Below are 18,883 nucleotides of genomic sequence, written 5' to 3'. Positions count from 1 at the left end.
CCTTCTGACACCCCCTACCTCCCACCCCCAAAGCCTCACCAATTCCAGAGCTGCCTCCAAGGTGCTTCCAGCCCTGGAGATAAATGGGCCATTCCTGCCCACACCAGGAAGGGGAGTGGACTTGACTCCGGGCCAAGAGTCCTGCCAGGATTAAGGAAGGAGAACCAGCAAACCTGCATTTCCAGTGAGCACAGACCCATGTTCTCAGGAAGGGGAAAACTTCCAACAGGAACCACAGGAACTTTCTCCATTTTTAAAAATAGCGACTATGTATTCATTTTATTGTCACACACACACTTTATCAAGACTGAATAAAAGGAACAATATAGACAGAGGAGAAAAAAAGAGAACTATGGAGAGGAGGTAAAGCCATTTTGAGCCCTCAGGGCATCCATGAAGTCAGGAAACTTCAGTTCCAACAGCAACAGAAGCCATTCTCATGCTTGGACTGGTCGGTGCTCAGCTCTTTTATATATTGTTTTGCTTTTTGAGACAGGGTCTCACTTTATCGCTCAATCTGGAGCGCAGTGGTGCAATCACAGCTCACTGCAGCCTGGACCTGCCAGGCTCAAGAGATCCTCCCACCTCAGCCTCTCGGGTAGCTGAGAGTACAGGCGCGCACCACCAGGCCCACCTGGCTCCTTTTTTATTTATTTATTTATTTATTTATTTATTTATTTATTTATTTAATTTATTGTAGAGGCAGGGTCTCGAACTGTTAGGCTCAAGCGATTCTCCTGCCTCAGCATCCCAAAGTGCTAGGATTACAGGAGTGAACCACCATGCCCAGCCATTGCTCAGCTCTTCAAAGTCCAATCCTACCTTAGCGTAGGATTGTCATACCTTACGTATGTCAGTGACCCAGGCCCGCAACCACTACGGGAAATGGGCCCGGGATCCTGCAGGAGGGTTAGGGTCTGCAGATCCCGCTGGCCAAGCGGCCCCTAAGGCGCGTCTGGGCTCTGAGGGCTGCGGGCTGCGGGCTGTGGGCTGTGGGCTGTGGGCTGTGGGCTGCGGCCGCCAGGTGGCGCCCTGACTTCTGTTCGGAGGCCTTCCCCTCCCTGCGGATCCCTGGGACCCCCGCCAGGGCAGGGCACTCGCCCATACCGCGCCCGAGGGCTTGCGCGTAGTGTTCACAGACCGTGAAGAAGCTCCACCCCAAACACAGAGGCACTGCTTGCTTTGGCCCCAAAACCCTGGTGCAGGACCTAGGGGACGTAGGGCGGCAGGACGAACATTGGCCCGGCCCTCGCCTCCTCCTGTGACCCCGCAACCCCTCACCTCCCGCGGGGAGAAGAGGCGTAAGGTGAGTGTAGAGCTGGGCCCGGAGGAAAGCTAGGCCCTCCAAGAATGTGGGGTCTTCGCCCTTGAAAAAGCGGGTCTTCCAGATGACGCCGTGGCAGAAAGCGCCAGAGCCCCAGCCTTCCTGCCCCGCCCTGCGCTGCGCCCTCCCCCAGCCCTCCTCCTCTTCCCGCCCCGGGCGAAAGCAGAAGTGTCCGAAAGTTGGGAGGAAATGGCCCCGGAGCTCCCGGGGTTTCCAGCTCGCCTGCGGAGCGCGGGGCTCCAGTGCGGCGCGCTCGGGGCCGCCAGGGGGCGCTGTGGGGCGGGCCTGCCGCCGGGGGCGCGGCTGTTGCGCCCAAGGGAGAGCCGTCGCTGCCAGCCTTAGATTTCTTTAGGAAGGGACAAAGTGATCTGGAGCCCAGGGCTGGGAGAGGCTCTTCGGGCTCCCACCTTCAGGCAGGATTAATGTCGAGCCCTGAAGGCGGGGTCTCTGTCCCGCCCGCCGCTGCACTCCCAGCTCCTGGAACAGTGAATAACAGGGGCCATATTCACCAAATACTGACTGAGCGACAACAGCAGGAAATGTCCTAAGTCCCGGTGATGAATCAGTGAACAAACAAAGCCTCTGCCCTAGTGAGGTTCCTATTCTCCCCTGCGGGGATGGGGAAAACGATAAGCAAAACAGAAGTGTAAATGCATGTACGGTGAGGATAGATGCTGTGGAGAAAAACTAAGCGGGATAAGGAGGGTGAGGAATGCATGGTGCGGTGGAGACAGGAAGGTCAGGGAAGGCTCTGATCGGAGAGGGACGCTTCAGCAGATCCCTCCAGGAAGGGGCGAGTCAGCTAGGAACCGAAAAATAAGGAACACTTCAACGTGTTAAATGAATGAGTTTTAGAGGCAAGATGCCACACTGAGCAATGGCCCCTCTGGTGTGACCTGTCCTCCCTCTCTCCACACCTGTCTGCTCCCCTTCATCCATCCATTCATCCATCCAGCCGTCCCACAGGCACCTACCTGCTCCATGCTGGACCTTATGTGGGGTATATTTCATTTCCATATCCCCTACACCCAGGGATATGGAAATGAAAAAGACACACTCCTGCCAGGTGCGGTGGCTCACGCCTGTAATCACAACGCTTTAGGAGGCCAAGGCGGACGGATCACAAGGTCAGGAGTTGGAGACCAGCCTGACTAACATGGAGAAACCCCGTCTCTACTAAAAATACAAAAATTAGCCAGGCGTGGTGGCGCACGCCTGTTATCCCAGCTACTCGGGAGGCTGAAGCAGGAGAATCGCTTGAACCCAGGAGGCAGAGATCGCAGTGAGCCAAGATTGCGCCACTGCACTTCAGCCTGGGCAACAGAGTGAGACTCCGTCTCAAAAAAAAGAAAAGAAAAAGACACTCCTGGCTGGGCGCAGTGGCTCACGCCTATAATCCTAGCACTTTGGGAGGCCGAGGCGGGCGGATCACGAGGTCAGGAGATTGAGACCATCCTGGCTAACTCGGTGAAACCCCGTCTCTACTAAAAATACAAAAAATTAGCCAGGCGTGGTGGCAGGCACCTGTAGTCCCAGCTACTCGGGAGGCTGAGGCAAGAGAATGGCGTGAACCAGGGAGGCGGAGCTTGCAGTGAGCCGAGATCGTGCCACTGCACTCCAGCGTGGGCAACACATCAAGACTCCGTCTCAAAAAAAAAAAAGAAAAAAAAAAAAGAAAAAGACATACTCCTTGAAGAGAAAAAGGGCCTCACTCTTACTCTGGTGGTACCAGAGAATGGCATAGCCCTTTGGGAGAGTAATTGGACAGCATCTCACTTTTAAATATGGCCACCCTTTGCACCCAAAGCCCCAGGCTGGGACTTGCAGCCAGGAATTGCACAGTGGTCAGGCAGGCCCACTGACTGGAACTAGAACGTGGATTTTAACTCCAACCCCGTCTCTTATCAGCTCTAAAACCCTGAACATGCCATTTATCTGTCTGCCTCAGCTTTCACATCTGTAAAATTAAGCTAATAAAAATATCTAATTAATCGGAGTTTTGAGCTAATACATTGCAAAGGGCAGGGCAGACACATAGAAAGTGTTCAATACATGTTAGCTACTATTGTTAGCTCAGGCAAGGGTTTGGGCAGAAGTGCAATTTGTCTTTTTTTTTCTTTTTTTCTTTTTTTTTTTCTTGAGACAGGGTCTCACTCTGTCGTCCAGGCTGGAGTGCGGTGGTGCCATCTCAGCTCACTGCAACCTCCATCTCCGAGGTTCAAGAGATTCTCCCACCTCTGCCTCCCCAGTAGCTGGGACTACAGGCGCCTGCCATCACACCCAACCAATTTTTGTATTTTTTGTTAGAGGTGGAGTTTCACCCATGTTGGCCAGGCTGGTCTCAAACTCCTGACCTCAAGTAATCCTCCCGCCTCAGCCTCCCAAAATGCTGGGATTATAGGCATGAGCCACCGTGACTGCCCCAAATGCTCTTTGCAAAATTATCTGCATAGCGCCATCCCGAGGCAACCTCAATAAAGTTCCATCAATAGGGAAATGAATCCAATTATGGTCTATCCATACTATAGAAGAAAATGTAATTTTAAGAAGATTGTGTTAATGGGAGACAATTTGAGACCCATATCAGCAAGTCAGACCAAATGTGAAAAAGCAGTGAGTCCTGTGGAACATTGGGATATGTGACATAGGGAGGACTGGAGGGGACTTGGCCTCTGGGGGCCTCTGTTTCTCCAATGAGAGACAATTTGAGCTGTTATCTGAACAGTCAGTCAATACTAATCAACTTTTTTAAATGCACACATCTTTTAACCCAACAGTTCTACTTTTAGGAGCTTATTCAACAGTTACACTTGCACATTTGCACAAAGAATCATAAAAAAAGGTTTGTGGCAGTGCTGTCAAAGGCAAGAACAACCTAAATGTCCATCAACACAGGAATTGTTAAAAAATTATGATGTATCCATCCAGTGAAAGCTTATGTAGCCTTTAAAGTTATCAAAGCAGGTCTAGATGTGCGGATGTAGGAAAATTACATGTAAAATCGTCTTCAATTTAAAAAAAAAAGACAAAGAAAAGCTTAGGTACTCACAATAAGAGTCATGAAAACTTTTGAGAGGGCAGGGGGCTGCTCTGGGGACCCCCAAGGAGATAGCCTCCGATAATGGTGAGTCCTGAAGGTAGAACACCCCCTCATTCTGCTTTGTTTCTTCTCTCCACCCTCAGTGCCCAGGACAGGACAGGACAGGACAAGTACTTATTGAGCGCCACAGAGAGAGAAAGAAGATAGGACAGGCTCTTGGGGCTCTGAGGCTCACAACAAACAAAATGTGATGGGGCAGCCCCTTGGAGTAACTCCAAGTCTGAGCTCAGCAGAGCTACAAGACTTCTGGATGTGCAGAGCCCAAGTTTCCCATCATTTCATCCCTGCTAGTGCTCTGGGCTGGGCTGAAGCAGCTTGTTCTGCTAGATTTGGAACAAACACAAGCGCCTAGAGGAGACCGAGCAACACATACTGATCCTATCAGGCCTAGCTGAGCCCAAGAGTTTCCTAGCTTTGCCCCATCTAACCATACTCTTTCAGGCGTCTTATCTGGTTCCTGTAAGTCTTGGCCCCCAGTCCATCTCCATGCAAGCAAAAATCCCTTGGACCCCGAAAGCTAATGAAATTTTAAAAATAAAAAAATTAAATTAAAAACAGAAGAAATCCGAAAAAAAAACTGAGATCTACAATCTCACAAAGAAATAAAAGAATATGAAATTGCTACTATTCAACGATTAGTTTTACCTTAAAAACGGCAGCTTTATATGGCTAATCTTAATGAATTAAAACAACTTTGAGATATTATTTTTATCCTTTCATACTGGCAAAGATTAAAAAGGTTTGTTAACATCTTGAATCAGCAAAACTCTGGAGAAACAGGCACATTAAGGGCAGAAGACAAACTTGTACCATCCCTATGAAAGGTGATTTTGGCAATTAACTGTTAAATGACAAATCTAAATACCCTTTGGCCTAGCTATTCCACTGCTAGAAGTTTATTCTACAGATATACTCACATACCTGGAATGTACACAGTTATTAATTACGACATTGTTTGTAATCACAGAGAATAAGAAAAAACCAAGCACCTATCAATTGGTGGACTGGTTAAATAAATTATAGTACATTCTCTCTTTCTTTCTCTCTCTCTCTCACACACACAGACACACACAAAAATTATCCATAAAAATTAAATAAGAAATCTCTTTAGGGGCCAGGTACGGTGGCTCATGCCTATAATCCCAGCATTTTGGGAAGCCAAGGCAGGCAGATCACCTGAGGTCAAGAGTTCGAGACCAGCCTGGCCAATATGGTGAAACACCGTCTCTACTAAAAATACAAAAAATTAGCCTGGCATGGTGGCGCACGCCTGTAATTCCAACTACTCGGGAGGCTGAGACACGAGAATTACTTGAACTCAGGAGGTGGAGGTTGCAGTGAGCCAAGATGGCACCACTGCACTCCAGCCTGGACAACAGAGCAAGACTCTGTCTCAAAAAAGAAAAAAGAAATCTCTTTACGTACTGATTTGAAATGCTTTCTAAGATCTAATCTCATCTGTATGCAAATTTTTAAAAACATGCACACAAGGTACAGAACAATGTGTATAGTATGTTACCATCTGGGTAAAAAAGGTGTGTTATGGTATCTAAAAAATTGAAAACATTTGTTGTAGAGGGGAACTTGGATAGCTGGAAAATAGAAGTAGGAAGGAGACTTTTCATTAAAATGCTGTTTTGTGCCTCTTGAATTTTGAATCTTCTGAATAATTGCCCAGTCAAAACAAACAGCAAACAAAGCACACCGGAGGAAACAATGAAGCTTTCCAGAGTGGAAAGCCAGGAACCTGGAGCTTAGAGGCAACCTGAGGAGGCAAAACTAATCCAAGTGGGGTAGAGGGAGATTGCCACAAGGCCATAGCTCACCTAAGCCAGGGAAGAGGAGTAGCCCCATTACCATCAGTCCCAATGACCCACTCTGTGCTTCCTGTCCCCGCGACTCTAGGCTTTGCAAGGTTAGAGACCCTAGTCCCCGAAGGCGCTGCACTCTTGCCAGGGGACACAACAAGGGTCCTATTGAATTACAAACTATAGCTACTCACCAGTGTCTAGCTGATGAGAGAAGGAGTCCCCATAACAGCATGAGTAATTGATGGCAATCTCAGATCACTGCAGCCTCCGCCCCCGACTCGCCTGACCCCGCCACCCACTCCATCTTGGGTTCAAGCGATTCTCCTGCCTCAGCCTCCCAAGTAGCTGGGACTACAGGGGCACACCACCACGTCCGGCTAATTTTTGTATTTTTTGTAGAGATGGGGTTCTCGCTATGCTGCCCAGGCTGGTCTCCAACTCCTGGGCTCAAGGTATCTGCCCCCACTTGGGCTCCCAAAGTGCTGAGATGACAAGCGTGAGCCACTGCACCTTTCCCCCGCATTGCAATTGTGAATGGACATGTGTAGTAACCCCAGTCTAAGAAGGGTATAATTACCAAGGGTCACTCCACCGCGTAAGCTACAACCAGCAAAAGTGATCCATGAGGGTGAGGGGGATTGAGTAGATAGTGGAGGAGGGAGAAGATAAGTACCAGTTACAACCATGAGATCAGCTGCAGCAATGGGGGCTGTAGCTGTCCAACTAGTTAGAAAAAGAGGCCTTGAGGAACCACAGAGGAACTTCTCCCTGGACCTGTGTGGAAAGGCATGTTCATGCAATACCAGCAGGTGAACTGAAGCAACCATGAGAATGTGCCTCTCAGATCTCACCTGCAGGGAGCATATTTCACCAATGGTCCTGTGTGTGCTCTGAAATCTGTCAGAGCACAGGCTGCTCCCAGTCAATGTCTGAGCATTGTGGGAACACTGTACCCAGGAGATGTAGGACTCTTCTCAGAGGCAGTTTTGGCTCAAAGACTCCCCCTCAAAAGTGATGCCAAAACTTTCTTAGAATTGCACTGCACTGTAAGATTCTTCCCGTCTAACTTGCCTTCCTTCCTTCCTCCCCTCTCTTCTCCATCATAGCCTGATGCTCTCCCAGGCTTCACCAGCTTCCTTTCCATTTTCCCTTTCAGGCCTTTTCTCAGTAAATCTCTTGAGGTCTAACCCAATCTTGGCATCTACTTTTTGGAAGACCGGCACTAACACAAAAGCTACTGCTATTGTGTATAAAAGTGAGTTCCAAGCTTCCCGGAAGTCAAAGGAAAAATATTACTGTATAGTATTCATTAGTGTTCTTCATCAAACACTTGTAGTTCCCCCACTTCCAGGCACCTTGATATGATTGATTCCTTGAATTGGATAGGGCCATGTGACTAGATATGTTGCTTTAAGTTAGTAAGATTTGGGGAGGCCAGGCACGGTGGCTCACGCCTGTAATCCCAGCACTTTAGGAGGCCAAGGCAGGCTGATCACTTGAGCCCAGGAGTTCGAGACCAGCCTGGCCAACATGGTAAAACCCTCTCTCTACTAAAAACACAAAGAAATTAGCCGGGCATGGCAGCACAAGCCTGTAATCCTAGCTACTCAGGAGGCTGAGGCACAATAATCATTTGAATCCGGGAGGCAGAGGTTGCAGTGAGCCAAGATTGCACCACTGCACTCCAGCCTGGGTGACAGAAGAGTCTCTGCCTGAAGAAAAAAAAAAAAAAAGGTGGGAGAAATCCTTTTTGTAACCATAACCCAGACTTTCCTGACTAATGTACATTGGTTCCTATTATCTAATTCAGTGTTTGCCAATAGCAATGCTATAGACATTTTGAATCAGATAATTCTTGGCTATAGGGACTGTACTATGCACGTAGGATGTTTTAGCAACATCCCCGGCCTCTACCCACTAGATAACTGTAGTAAGACTTTCACAGTTGTGACAACCAAAAATGTCTTCAGACATTGCAAAATACCCACTGCTGGACAAAATCGCCACCAGTTAAGAACTACTCACGTAATGAAGAGCAGTAAAATCTTTCTTCAAAAAGAGATCAAGAGGCCGGGCCCAGTGGCTCACACCTGTAATTCCAGCACTTTGGGAAGCTAAGGCAAGAGGATTGTTTGAGACCAGGAGTTCAAGACCAGCCTGGGCAAATGGTGAATCTCTGTCTCTACAAAAAAATACAAAAAAATGGCTGGGCACGGTGGCTCACGCCTGTAATCCCAGCACTTTGGGAGGCTGAGGCAGGCGGATCACCTGAGGTCGGGAGTTCGAGACCAGCCTGACCAACATGGTGAAACCCTGTCTCTACTAAAAATACAACATTAGCCGGGCGTGGTGGCACATGACTGTAATCCCAGCTACTCGGGAGGCTGAGGCAGGAGAATCGCTTGAACCTGGGAGGCTGAGGTTGTGGTGAGCCAAGACAGGGCCACTGCACTCCAGCCTGGGCAACAGGAGAGAAACTTTGTCTAAAAAAAAAATTAGCCAGGCATGGTGGTGTGTGTCTGTAGTCCCAGCTACTTGGAAGGCTGAGGTGGGAGGATTGCTTGAGCTGAGGAGGTGAACGGTCCAGTGAGCCAAGACAGTGCCACTGCACTTCAGCCTGGGTGACAGAGCCAGACCCTGTCTCAAATAAATAAATAAGATCAAATTTACAATGGAATCATATAAAATGCTCAATTAAAATCAGAAAAGGCAGAAAAAGAAGGAAGAGGATATAACAAGTAGAAAACAGCTACAAACATGGTGAATATTAAACTGCAATGGGTAGGGAAGTCCTCCTGGGCCTGGGAACCAAAGGGTGGAAGCAGGGGTGGCCTATATCAATAATCACTTTAAAGGTGAATGGTCTCAAGAGAATGAGATGACAAGCCACAGACTGGGAGGAAATATTTGGAATTCTGTACTTTTAGCTCAGTTTTACTGAAAACCTAAAATTGCTCTAACAAAGTCTATTTTTAAAATATTTTTGAAATGTGACTAGCCTAAATACACAAAATAAAAGACAGAGATTATCAGAATGGGCAAAATAACCTACAGCTAGCATTATAGTTAGTAGTAAAAAATTGGATGCCTTCCCCCTAAAATTGGGAATAAGGCAAGGATTTTCTCTCTTACCACTCTTACTCAACATTGTATTAGATGTCCCGGCTACTGTGATAGGCCAAGAAGAGGAACCAAATGCAGATTGCGAAGGAGCTGCAGATGACATGACTGTCTATGCAGAAAATCCCAAATAATTGACAAAACAACTTCAGGAACTAATAAATAAATATAGCAAGGTCGTAGTTCACACTGATATAAATAAACAATTAAATGAGAGAGAAGTGATAAATCTTCTTTGCAGAAGAATTCTAAATAATATATATAGTCCAGGCACAGTGGCTCATGTCTGTAATCCCAGCACTTTGGGAGGCTGAGGCAGGAGGAGTACAGGAGTTTGAGACCAGCCTGGGCAACATAGTGAGACCTCGTCTCTACAAAAAATAAACAAAATTAGCCAGCATGGTGCCACACACCTGTAGTCCCAGCAACTCAGGAGACTGAGGTGGGAGGACTGCTTGAGATTGGGAGGTCGAGGCTGCAGTGAGCCAAGATCACGCTACTGCACTCCAGTCTGGGCAACAGAGAAAGACCCTGTCTCCAAAAAATAATAATAATAATTTAAAAATTAGGCCAGACGTGGTGGCTCATGCCTGTAATCCCAGCACTTTGGGAGGCCGAGGTGGGCGGATCACAAGGTCAGGAAATCGAGACCATCCTGGCTAACACGGTGAAACCCCGTCTCTACTAGAAAATACAAAAAATTAGCCGGGCGTGGTGGCAGGCACCTGTAGTCCCAGCTACTCGGGAGGCTGAGGCAGGAGAATGGCGTGAACCAGGGAGGCAGAGCTTGCAGTGAGCCGAGATCGTGCCACTGCACTCTAGCCTGGGCGACAGAGTGAGACTCTGTCTCAAAAAAAAAAAAAAAATTAAAAATTAATGTATATAGATACTCCCCTATTGTTATAGATTTAACTGTGTTCTACAAAAAGATATGTTATAGCCTAAACCCTGGTACCTGTGACCTTATTTGGATAGGGTCTTTGCAGGTAGAATCAAGTTAAAATGAGATATTTAGTGTGAGCCCTAACCCAGTACGACTGATGTCATTATAAGAAGAGGAGAGCCACAGACAAAGACAAAGAGAACAGAAGGAGAGCGTCATGTGCCCACAGAGGCAGAGAGTGGAGTGATGATGTGTCTGTAAGGCCAAGGGTTGCCAGCGGCACCAGAAATTAAGTTGTCCCCGAAGTTCATGTGTTGGAAACTTAATCCCTAGTATACCAGTGTTGAAAGATGAGATCTTTAAGAGATTGCTAGGTCATGAGGGCTCTGCCCTCATCAATAAATTAATACCATATTGTGGGAGTTGGTTAGGTATCTTGGAAGCGGGTTCCAGATAAAATAATAAATTTGACCCCCATTCCCTTCTCTCTCTCAAGCATATTCTCTTGTCTTTCTGCCTTCCACAATGGAATGAGCAGCAAGAAGGCCTTCAGCAGATGCAGTGCCCTTGAACGTGGCCTTCCCAGCCTCCAGAACTGTAACAAATAAGTCTATGTTCTTCGTAGATTACCCAGTCTCAGGTATTCTGTTATAGCAACATAAAGTGAACTAAGACAGAAGACATGGATCAAATTCTCCCCTAGAACCTTCAGAGAGGGCATAGCCCTGCTGACATTTTGATTTCAGACTTCTAGCCTCTAGAACAAGGGTTCCAACCCCTGGGCTGAGGACCAATACCAGTCCATGCCTTGTTAGGAACCGAGCTGCAAAGCAGGAGGTAAGTAGCAGGTGAATGAGCATTGCCTGAGCTCTGCATCCTGTCGGATCAGTGACAGCATTTGATTCTTTTGGGACCGTGAACCCTATTGTGAACCGCACATGCAAGGGATCTAGGTTGCACACACCTCATGAGAATCTAACTAATGCCTGATGATCTGAGGTGGAACAGTTTCATCCCAAAACCATCCCCCAGTCCCCACATCTGTGGGAAAACTGTCTTCCATGAAACTGGTCCCTGGTACCAGAAAGGTTGAGGACTGCTGCTCTAGAACCATGAGAGAACACATTTCTGTTCTTTTAAGCCACCAGTTTGTGTACTTTGTCACCATTGCCTTAGGAAGCTGACATACTCCTCAAGGAGGTGGAACATAACTCCCACACTTAAGGAGTGGGCATAGTGACTTCCTTCCAAAAAGAACACTGTGGAAAGGGCGAAAAAAAAGTAACTTTACAGTAGCGAAACCTGATGAAGCCAGGTGACCAAACTCAACATCAACAGTGATGACTCATGTTGATTGTATGTACCTTGATATGATGTGATGAATATGTGGTCTTCCTCCCAAAAACCTATAACCACCAGCCAGGCACGGTGGATCACGCCCTGTAATCCCAGCACTTTGGGAGGCCAAGGCAGGTGGATCATCTGAGGTCAGGAGTTCGAGACCAGCCCGGCCAACGTGGTGAAACCCTGTCTCTACTAAAAATGCAAAAATTAGCTGGGTGTGGTGGCGGGAGCCTGTAATCCCAGCTACTCAGGAGGCTGAGGTAGGAGGTTGCAGTGAGCCAAGATCCCGCCACTGCACTCCAGCCTGGGTAACAGAGCGAGACTCTGTCTCAAAAAAAAAAAAAAATAGCCAAGTGTGGTGGGGGACACCTGTAATCCCAGCTACTTGGGAGGCTGAGGCAGGAGAATCACTTGAACCCAGGAGGCAGAGGTTGCAGTGAGCCAAGATTGCACCACTGCCCTCCAGCCTGGGCAACAGAGTGAAATGTGAAACTCCATCTCCAAAAAAAAAAACATCCATAACCCCAGTCTAAATGTGAGAAAAACATTGAAAACATTGGACAGATTCCAATGGAAGAGCATTCTACAAAATACGAGACCAATATTCATCAAAACTGTCAAGGTTATCAAAACCAAGGAGAATCCGAGAAACCACCCCAAGCCAACAGGAGCCTAAGGAGACATGATAACTAGATGCAGTGTGATACACTGAATGGTATCCGGGATTACAAAAAGGACATTAGGTGAAGATTAAGGAAATCGGCTGGGCGCAGTGGCTCACGCCTGTAATCCCAGCACTTTGGGAGGCCAAGGCGGGCGGATCACGAGGTCAGGAGTTCAAGACCAGCCTGACCAACATGGTGAAACCCGTTTCTACTAAAAACACAAAAATTAGCCGCGCATAGTGGCATGGATCTGTAATCTTGGCTACTCAGGAGGCTGAGGCAGGAGAATCACTTGAAACTGGGAAGTGGAGGTTGCAGTGAGCCAACATCGCACCACTGCACTCCAGCCTGGGTGACAGAGCAAGACTCCAGCTCAAAAAAAAAAAAAAATACTTAAGAAAATCTGGGCCAGGTGCAGTGGCTCACACCTATAATCCCAGAACTTTGGAAGGCCAAGGCAGGAGGATTACTTGAGCCCAGGAGTTTGAATTTACAATGAGCCATGATCATGTCACTGCACTCCAACCTGGCTGACAGAGGAAGGTCCTGTCCCTAAATTTAAAAATAAATAAATAAATCTGAATAAACTGTGGACTTCATTTATAATCATTGGTCAATATTGGTTAATTAATTGGAACAAATGGACCATACTAACATAAGATTAATAATAGGAATAATAGGAGAAACAGAGTGGAGTAAAGGGGTAACTATATGTTCAATTTTTTCTTTTTTTTTTTTTTTTTTTTTGAGATGGAGTTTCACTCTGTTCACCCAGGCTGGAGTTCAGTGGTTTGATCTCGGCTCACTGCAACCTCTGCCTTCTGGATTCAAGTGATTCTTCTGCTTCAGCCTCCTAAGTAGCTGGGACTACAGGTGCACGCCACCACACCCAGCTAATTTTTGTATTTTAAGTAGAGATGGGGTTTCACCATGTTGGCCAGGCTGGTCTTGAACTCCTGAACTCAAGTGATCCACCCGCCTGAGCCTCCCAAAGTACTGGGATTACAGGTGTGAGCCACAACGCCTGGCCTATATCTTCAATTTTTATATAAGTCTAAACAGTTCCATAAAATAAAATCTGCTTCAAATTTTTTTTTTTTTTGAGACAGAGTCTTGCTCTGTGGGTCAGGTTGGAGTGCAGTGGCACAGTCTTGGCCACTGCAACCTCCGTCTCCCCGGCTCAAGCAATTCACCTGCCTCATCCTCCGAAGTAGCTGGGATTACAGGCATGTGCCACCATGCCTGGCTAATTTTTGTATTTTTAGTAGAGACGAGGTTTCACCATGTTGGCCAGGCTGGTCTTGAACTCCTGACCTCAGGTAATCCACCCGCCTCGGCCTCCCAAAGTGCCAGGATTACAGGTATGAACCACTGCACCCAGCTTCAAAATTTTTTAAGATTAAAAAAAAAAAAAAACCAGTGTTGCAAAGATGTCAATATTCCTCCAAAATGCTATAAAAGTTAACTTTTTTTTAAGAGAACAAATTTATTATGGTGCTTACTCTACGACAATTTGCCATTTGATCTTCATATCATTGCTGGTGGGCATCATAATGGACTTTTTTTTTCCATTGTAATTCTGTGTTCTTTGTGGCAGAACTGTTTCCTATGTGAATGCCTCACTTGATGATCTTGGTTGAAGATGAGGGTATGTGGTTATGTCATTATTCCCTGAATGATTGTTTGCAGTGTGCTGCAGGTAAAGAGCTTCGTAATAGAGGTGTCCTTCAGGGAGGCCCTCAGGTTTCCTGAACAAGACCCACAGAAAGGCTGCATCTGATTGGGCTCACCATGCCTTAAGATCTAGAATCCATTTCTACAAATTCAAACCCTTAGTTCTGTCCCTTTTGCCCAGAGCTGATATACCTATAGAAGGCAGGTCCCCTGACTGAGCTCCACAGGCAGATGTAGAAGCCAGAACCAACCCTGTAAGAGGCCAGAAAACCAATCTGGTCAGGTGACCCTTCAGGAAAATACAGAAAGAATAATTCCACTAACACATAATATTTGCCATGTAAACATTTTTATTGGCCAGGCACAGTGGCTCACACCTGTAATCCTAGCACTTTGGGAGGTTGAGGCAGGCAGATCACTTGAGCCCAGGAGTTTGAGACCAGCCTGGCCAATTTGGTGAAATCCTGTCTCTACAAAAAAAATACAAAAATTATCTGGGCGTGGTGGCATGCACCTGTAGTCCCAGCTACTTGGGAGGCCAAGGTGGGAGGATCACCTGAGCCCAGGAAGTTGGGGCTGCAGTGAGCTGAGATTGAGCCAGTGTACTCCAGCCTCACTCCAGGATCTCACTCCCTCACTCCAGGACAACAGAGTGAGACCCTATCTCAAAAAAAAAAAAAAAATATATATATATATATATATTAGAATGATGACCAAGGGTTATCCCATACTACTCCATTACTATGCATATTAATAGCAAAGGGAGGGAAGAGCCTTTACAATGGAGGGACTTGGCAATTACTATCTGAACACAATCTTCAGATGTAACATCACCAATGGTGGGGCAACCTGACATGATGTCCCTGCTGGTATGATGCAATATAAAGTACAATGTCACTTTTTTCCTTTGAGACAGAGTCTTGCTCTGTCACCCAGGCTGGAGTGCAGTGGCATGATCCTGGCTCACTGCAACCTCCGTTTCCCAGGTTCAAGCAATTTTTGTGTCTCAGCCTCCTGAGTAGCTGGCATTATAGGCATGCATCACCCAGCTAACTTTTGTATTTTTAGTAGAGACAGGGTTTCACAAAGTTGGCCAGGCTGGTCTCAAGTGACTCACCTGCCTTGGCCTCCCAAAGTGCTGGGATTGCAGGTGTGAGCCACCATGCCCAGCCTACAATGTGACCTTTGAAAAACTTCTTACCATAAAAGCAAACTCAAATCCAATTGAAGCTACAGAGTTGACTTTTATTTTACAGGAAATACAAGAAGTAGAGGAAGAAGTTAAATAACAATGTGAATAAACCATCAGACAAATCCTAAATGTGGGGACATTCTACAACTTTCTTTGTTTTTTCAAAAATTCTGTCATGAAATAAAAAAGATTGGGGGATTAGGGAGCAGTTCTCTATTCCACAAATTCAGTAACGTAGACTTCTCCCATCTGCGATGCTGTCATGGTTAACACACTTCCTACAAGGCCACCCAGGAACAGGAAGGGAACATGCAGAATCTTTTTTTTTTTTTTTTTTTTTGAGACGAAGTTTCACTCTTGTTGCTCAAGCTGGAGTGCAATGGCATGCTCTCGGCTCACTGCAACCTCCGCCTCCCGGGTTCAAGCAATTCTCCTGACTCAGCCTCCCAAGTAGCTGGGATTACAGGCACTACAGGTGCGCGCCCACGCCGGGCTAATTTTTTGTATTTTTAGTAGAAATGGGGTTTCACCATGTTAGCCAGGCTGGTCTGGAACTCCTGACCTCAGGTGATCTGCCCGCCTTGGCCTCCCAAAGTGCTGGGATTACAGGCAAGAGCAACCACGCCCGGCCACCACGCAGAATCTTACCGGATGGGCCGGGTGTCAGGAGTTCAAGACCACCCTGGCCAACATGGTGAAACCCCGTCTCTACTAAAAATACAAAAAATGAGCCGGGCATGGTGGTGTGTGCCTGTAATCCTAGCTACTCAGGAGGCTGAGGCAGGAAAATTACTTGAACCCAGGAGGTGGAGGTGGCAGTGAGCCAAGATCGAGCCATTACACTCCCGCCTGGGCAACAACAGCGAAACTCAGTCTCAAAAAAAAAAGAATTTTCCAGGATGGTTTTTAATAGGCCAAGCTTCAGAGTGCTATATGTCAGCTCCTACTTATATTTTTTTTGCCATAACTTTATATGATTTCCTATCTAGCTGCAAGAGAGCTAGGAAGTGTGACCTAGCTAGAAGCTTAGGAAGGAGAAGAAAGGGTTTTGGTGAGCATCTAGTCAGTCTCTCCACACATATGGTAAGCACCACTTACCCCTCCAGTAGGACAGGTCTGAGCGTGGCCTTTGCCAGGCAATCCTAAAGTATGCATACCCTCAGTCCCATGCCAGTCCTCGATCTGAGATGGACTGGCAACCCAGTGTCCACCTTCATCCTGTCATCCCCCATAGTCAATCAATCACTAAATACCAACCTCTCCCTCCTTACACATGTCTCTAAATAGCCAATGCCTTTCTGTCTGCAACTGCCAGACCTTTGTGCAACAGCCTTCCATCTGGTCTCCCTTCATGCAAGACTTCTGCTCTCAGGGAGCTTATATTCTTCTATAAGGCTGCAAGTGAGCAAATACATCAAGGAACAAGAGAATGGCAGGTGCTATGAGGAAGCAGATGTTGAAATGGTAGAGAATAGCTGTTTGGGGTGTAGAGGAGTGGTTAATACATAGAGAGCAGTCAGTGAAGACTGCACTGTGGCAGTAGCTGTGGCAGATAGTATTTCCCAAAAATTATCCAGAAAAACAATATTTCAATTTCCACACGCTGTTTCAGAACCCTGCCACTCCCTCAAGTGGCAGACTCTGTGTTCCCTTCAGTTGAATTCCCATGGGTCTTTTGGTCTTCTCAACTAATAAAATACAACAGAACTCCCAAGGCTAGGTCAGAAAAGACATTACAGCTTCCACCTGACTTTTGTTTTGTTTTTTTTGAGACAGAGTCTCACTCTGTTGTCCAGGTTGGATGACATGCCATGCCATGCAGTGGCATGATCTCAGCTCACTGCAACCTCTGCTTCCTGGGCTGAAGCAATTCTCATGCCTCAGCCTCCCAAGCAGTTGGGATTACAGGCACACGTCACCATGCTCAGCTAATTTTTGTATTTTTTTTTTGTAGAGACGGGGTTTCACCATGTTGCCCAGGCTGCTCTCGAACACCTGAGCTGAAGCTTCCCAAAGTGTAGGGATTACAAGCGTGAGCCACCGTGCCCAGCCTCTACCCAACTCTTTTAGGACACATTCCCAGGAGCCTAGCTACGTGGAGAATAGCTAAAGCCCCAGCCTTCAACCCTTGCTTAACTCATAGAGGACTGCCATGTGAGTGAGCCAACTCAGAGGCAAATTCTCAGTTAGCTGATTTGCCCCAGCTGATGGTGCATGGAGCAAAATGAGCCTTCCCCATGAAGCCCTGCCCAAAATACAGATATATGAGCAAAATAAATGATTGTTGTTTTGAAGCCACTGAGTTTTGGAGTGTTTCACTATGGAGCAATAGTAACTGAACTCAGGCCTAAATACCAAGGAGTCAGCCATGAGGAAATCTTCATAGAGCATTTTAAGCATAGCCAACAACAAATCCCATGGCTTGAAGACAGGAACAAGCTTGGCACACTGAGGAACAGAGACGGTCAGGTAGCTGAGGGGGAGAGCCCTAAGAAGCGTGGTTGGAGAGGAAGGCTGAGCCACATTAAAGCCTCTTGGGCCATGAAGAAGTCTGAAATGATCAAAAGTTCAGTAGGAGTTCATTCTCCTCATAGCCGCAAGAGCCAACAAGGGTTGTGAGCAAGGCAATGATGGGATTTATTGTCTTAAAAGATGGCTCCAGAAGCTATGGGGAGAATGATACGTAGCAGTATGAAAGTGGAAGCAGATGCTGGGCACGGTGGCTCATGCGTGTAATCCCAGCACTTTGGGAGGCCGAGGAGGGTGAAGAGCTTGAGCCCAGGAATTCAAGACCAGCCTGGGCAACATGGCAAAACCTTGTCTCTACAAAAAATACAAAAATTAGCTGGGCATTGTGGTGTGCACCTGTAGTCCCAACTCCTCAGGAGGCTGAGGTGGGAGGATCACTTGAGCTGGGGAGGCAGAAGTTGCAGTGAGCTGAGATCATGCCACTGCACTCCAGCCTGGGTAATAGAGCAAGACTGAATCAAAAGGAAAAAAAAAAAAAGGAAAGAAAGGAAGAAAGAAAGAAAAGAAGGAAGGAAGGAGGGAGGGAGGGAAGGAAGAAAGGATGAAAGAAAGAAAGAAAGAACCAACAGTGGAAGCAAGGAGATCAGTTAGCAATTGTCCAAGATGAACACAGTTGACACCCAATAGTGAGGAGAAGAAGATAGACTCCAGGCACATTTTGTAGAGGCAATAAGCTTTGCTGATAAGATGAGAGGTGAGGGACAAGGAAGAATAAAAGCAAACCTCTAGGTTTTTGTCTCAAGCAGACATGTGAATGACAGTGCTGTTGGCTAGATGAGAAAGGCTTGGAGAGGAACAGGGTTGGGGTGGGATAAACCTTCCCCTTCCCTCAGGATATCTGATTTCAATGTGGTTGTAGAAAGAATCCAAGCTGGCTAAATAATTCTCACTAAGCAGTTACCAGGAGGCAAGTACAGAGCTTCCGACTCTGGTAGGGGTGGAGATTCTGATAACTACTTGGCTTGCCTTAGGAATTCCTTTCTATTTATGTGTTTGCCTATATAGCTTTTAGAGTCTCTATGCAGAGTGTGGTTGTTATAATTACTATGGCAAAAATCCCAGCTGGAAGCTAAAACACACCCAAAGGAGGAAATTGAACTCAACATGTAGGAGACCCAGCCAAGTGCTTTTCCCAAACCATACTGCTTTAGCCAGTCTGGAGAAGAGCTCCTGAGTGACCAAGAGGAAGGAACCAGGCCTTAGGTACCTACTGAAAAAATGGCTAATAAGAGACAGGGGAA

The 18,883-nt window shown here is 46.8% G+C and overlaps 1 long non-coding RNA gene across 1 annotated transcript, besides 2 other annotated features; it reads left to right on the top strand.

The window, feature by feature from the left end:
• Positions 945-1,094: a silencer, noted in NCBI's record as "silent region_14768". NCBI's record gives its function as "represses an Ori minimal core promoter by ATAC-STARR-seq in GM12878 lymphoblastoid cells {active_cell/tissue: GM12878}" and the evidence as "EXISTENCE:reporter gene assay evidence [ECO:0000049][PMID:35858748]".
• Positions 1,180-17,407, top strand: LOC124906289 (uncharacterized). Its single transcript, XR_007096114.1, has 2 exons — positions 1,180-1,306; positions 17,068-17,407. It is a non-coding gene; the product is annotated as an uncharacterized LOC124906289 (long non-coding RNA).
• Positions 1,505-1,724: a silencer, noted in NCBI's record as "silent region_14767". NCBI's record gives its function as "represses an Ori minimal core promoter by ATAC-STARR-seq in GM12878 lymphoblastoid cells {active_cell/tissue: GM12878}" and the evidence as "EXISTENCE:reporter gene assay evidence [ECO:0000049][PMID:35858748]".
• Positions 17,408-18,883: the final 1,476 nt, after the last annotated feature.

This window comes from Homo sapiens, chromosome 3, assembly GCF_000001405.40.
Source record: "Homo sapiens chromosome 3, GRCh38.p14 Primary Assembly".
NCBI classification, from domain to species: Eukaryota; Metazoa; Chordata; class Mammalia; order Primates; family Hominidae; genus Homo; species Homo sapiens.
Note: the sequence above shows the minus strand (reverse complement) of the source record. Positions and strands in the feature narration are given on the sequence as shown.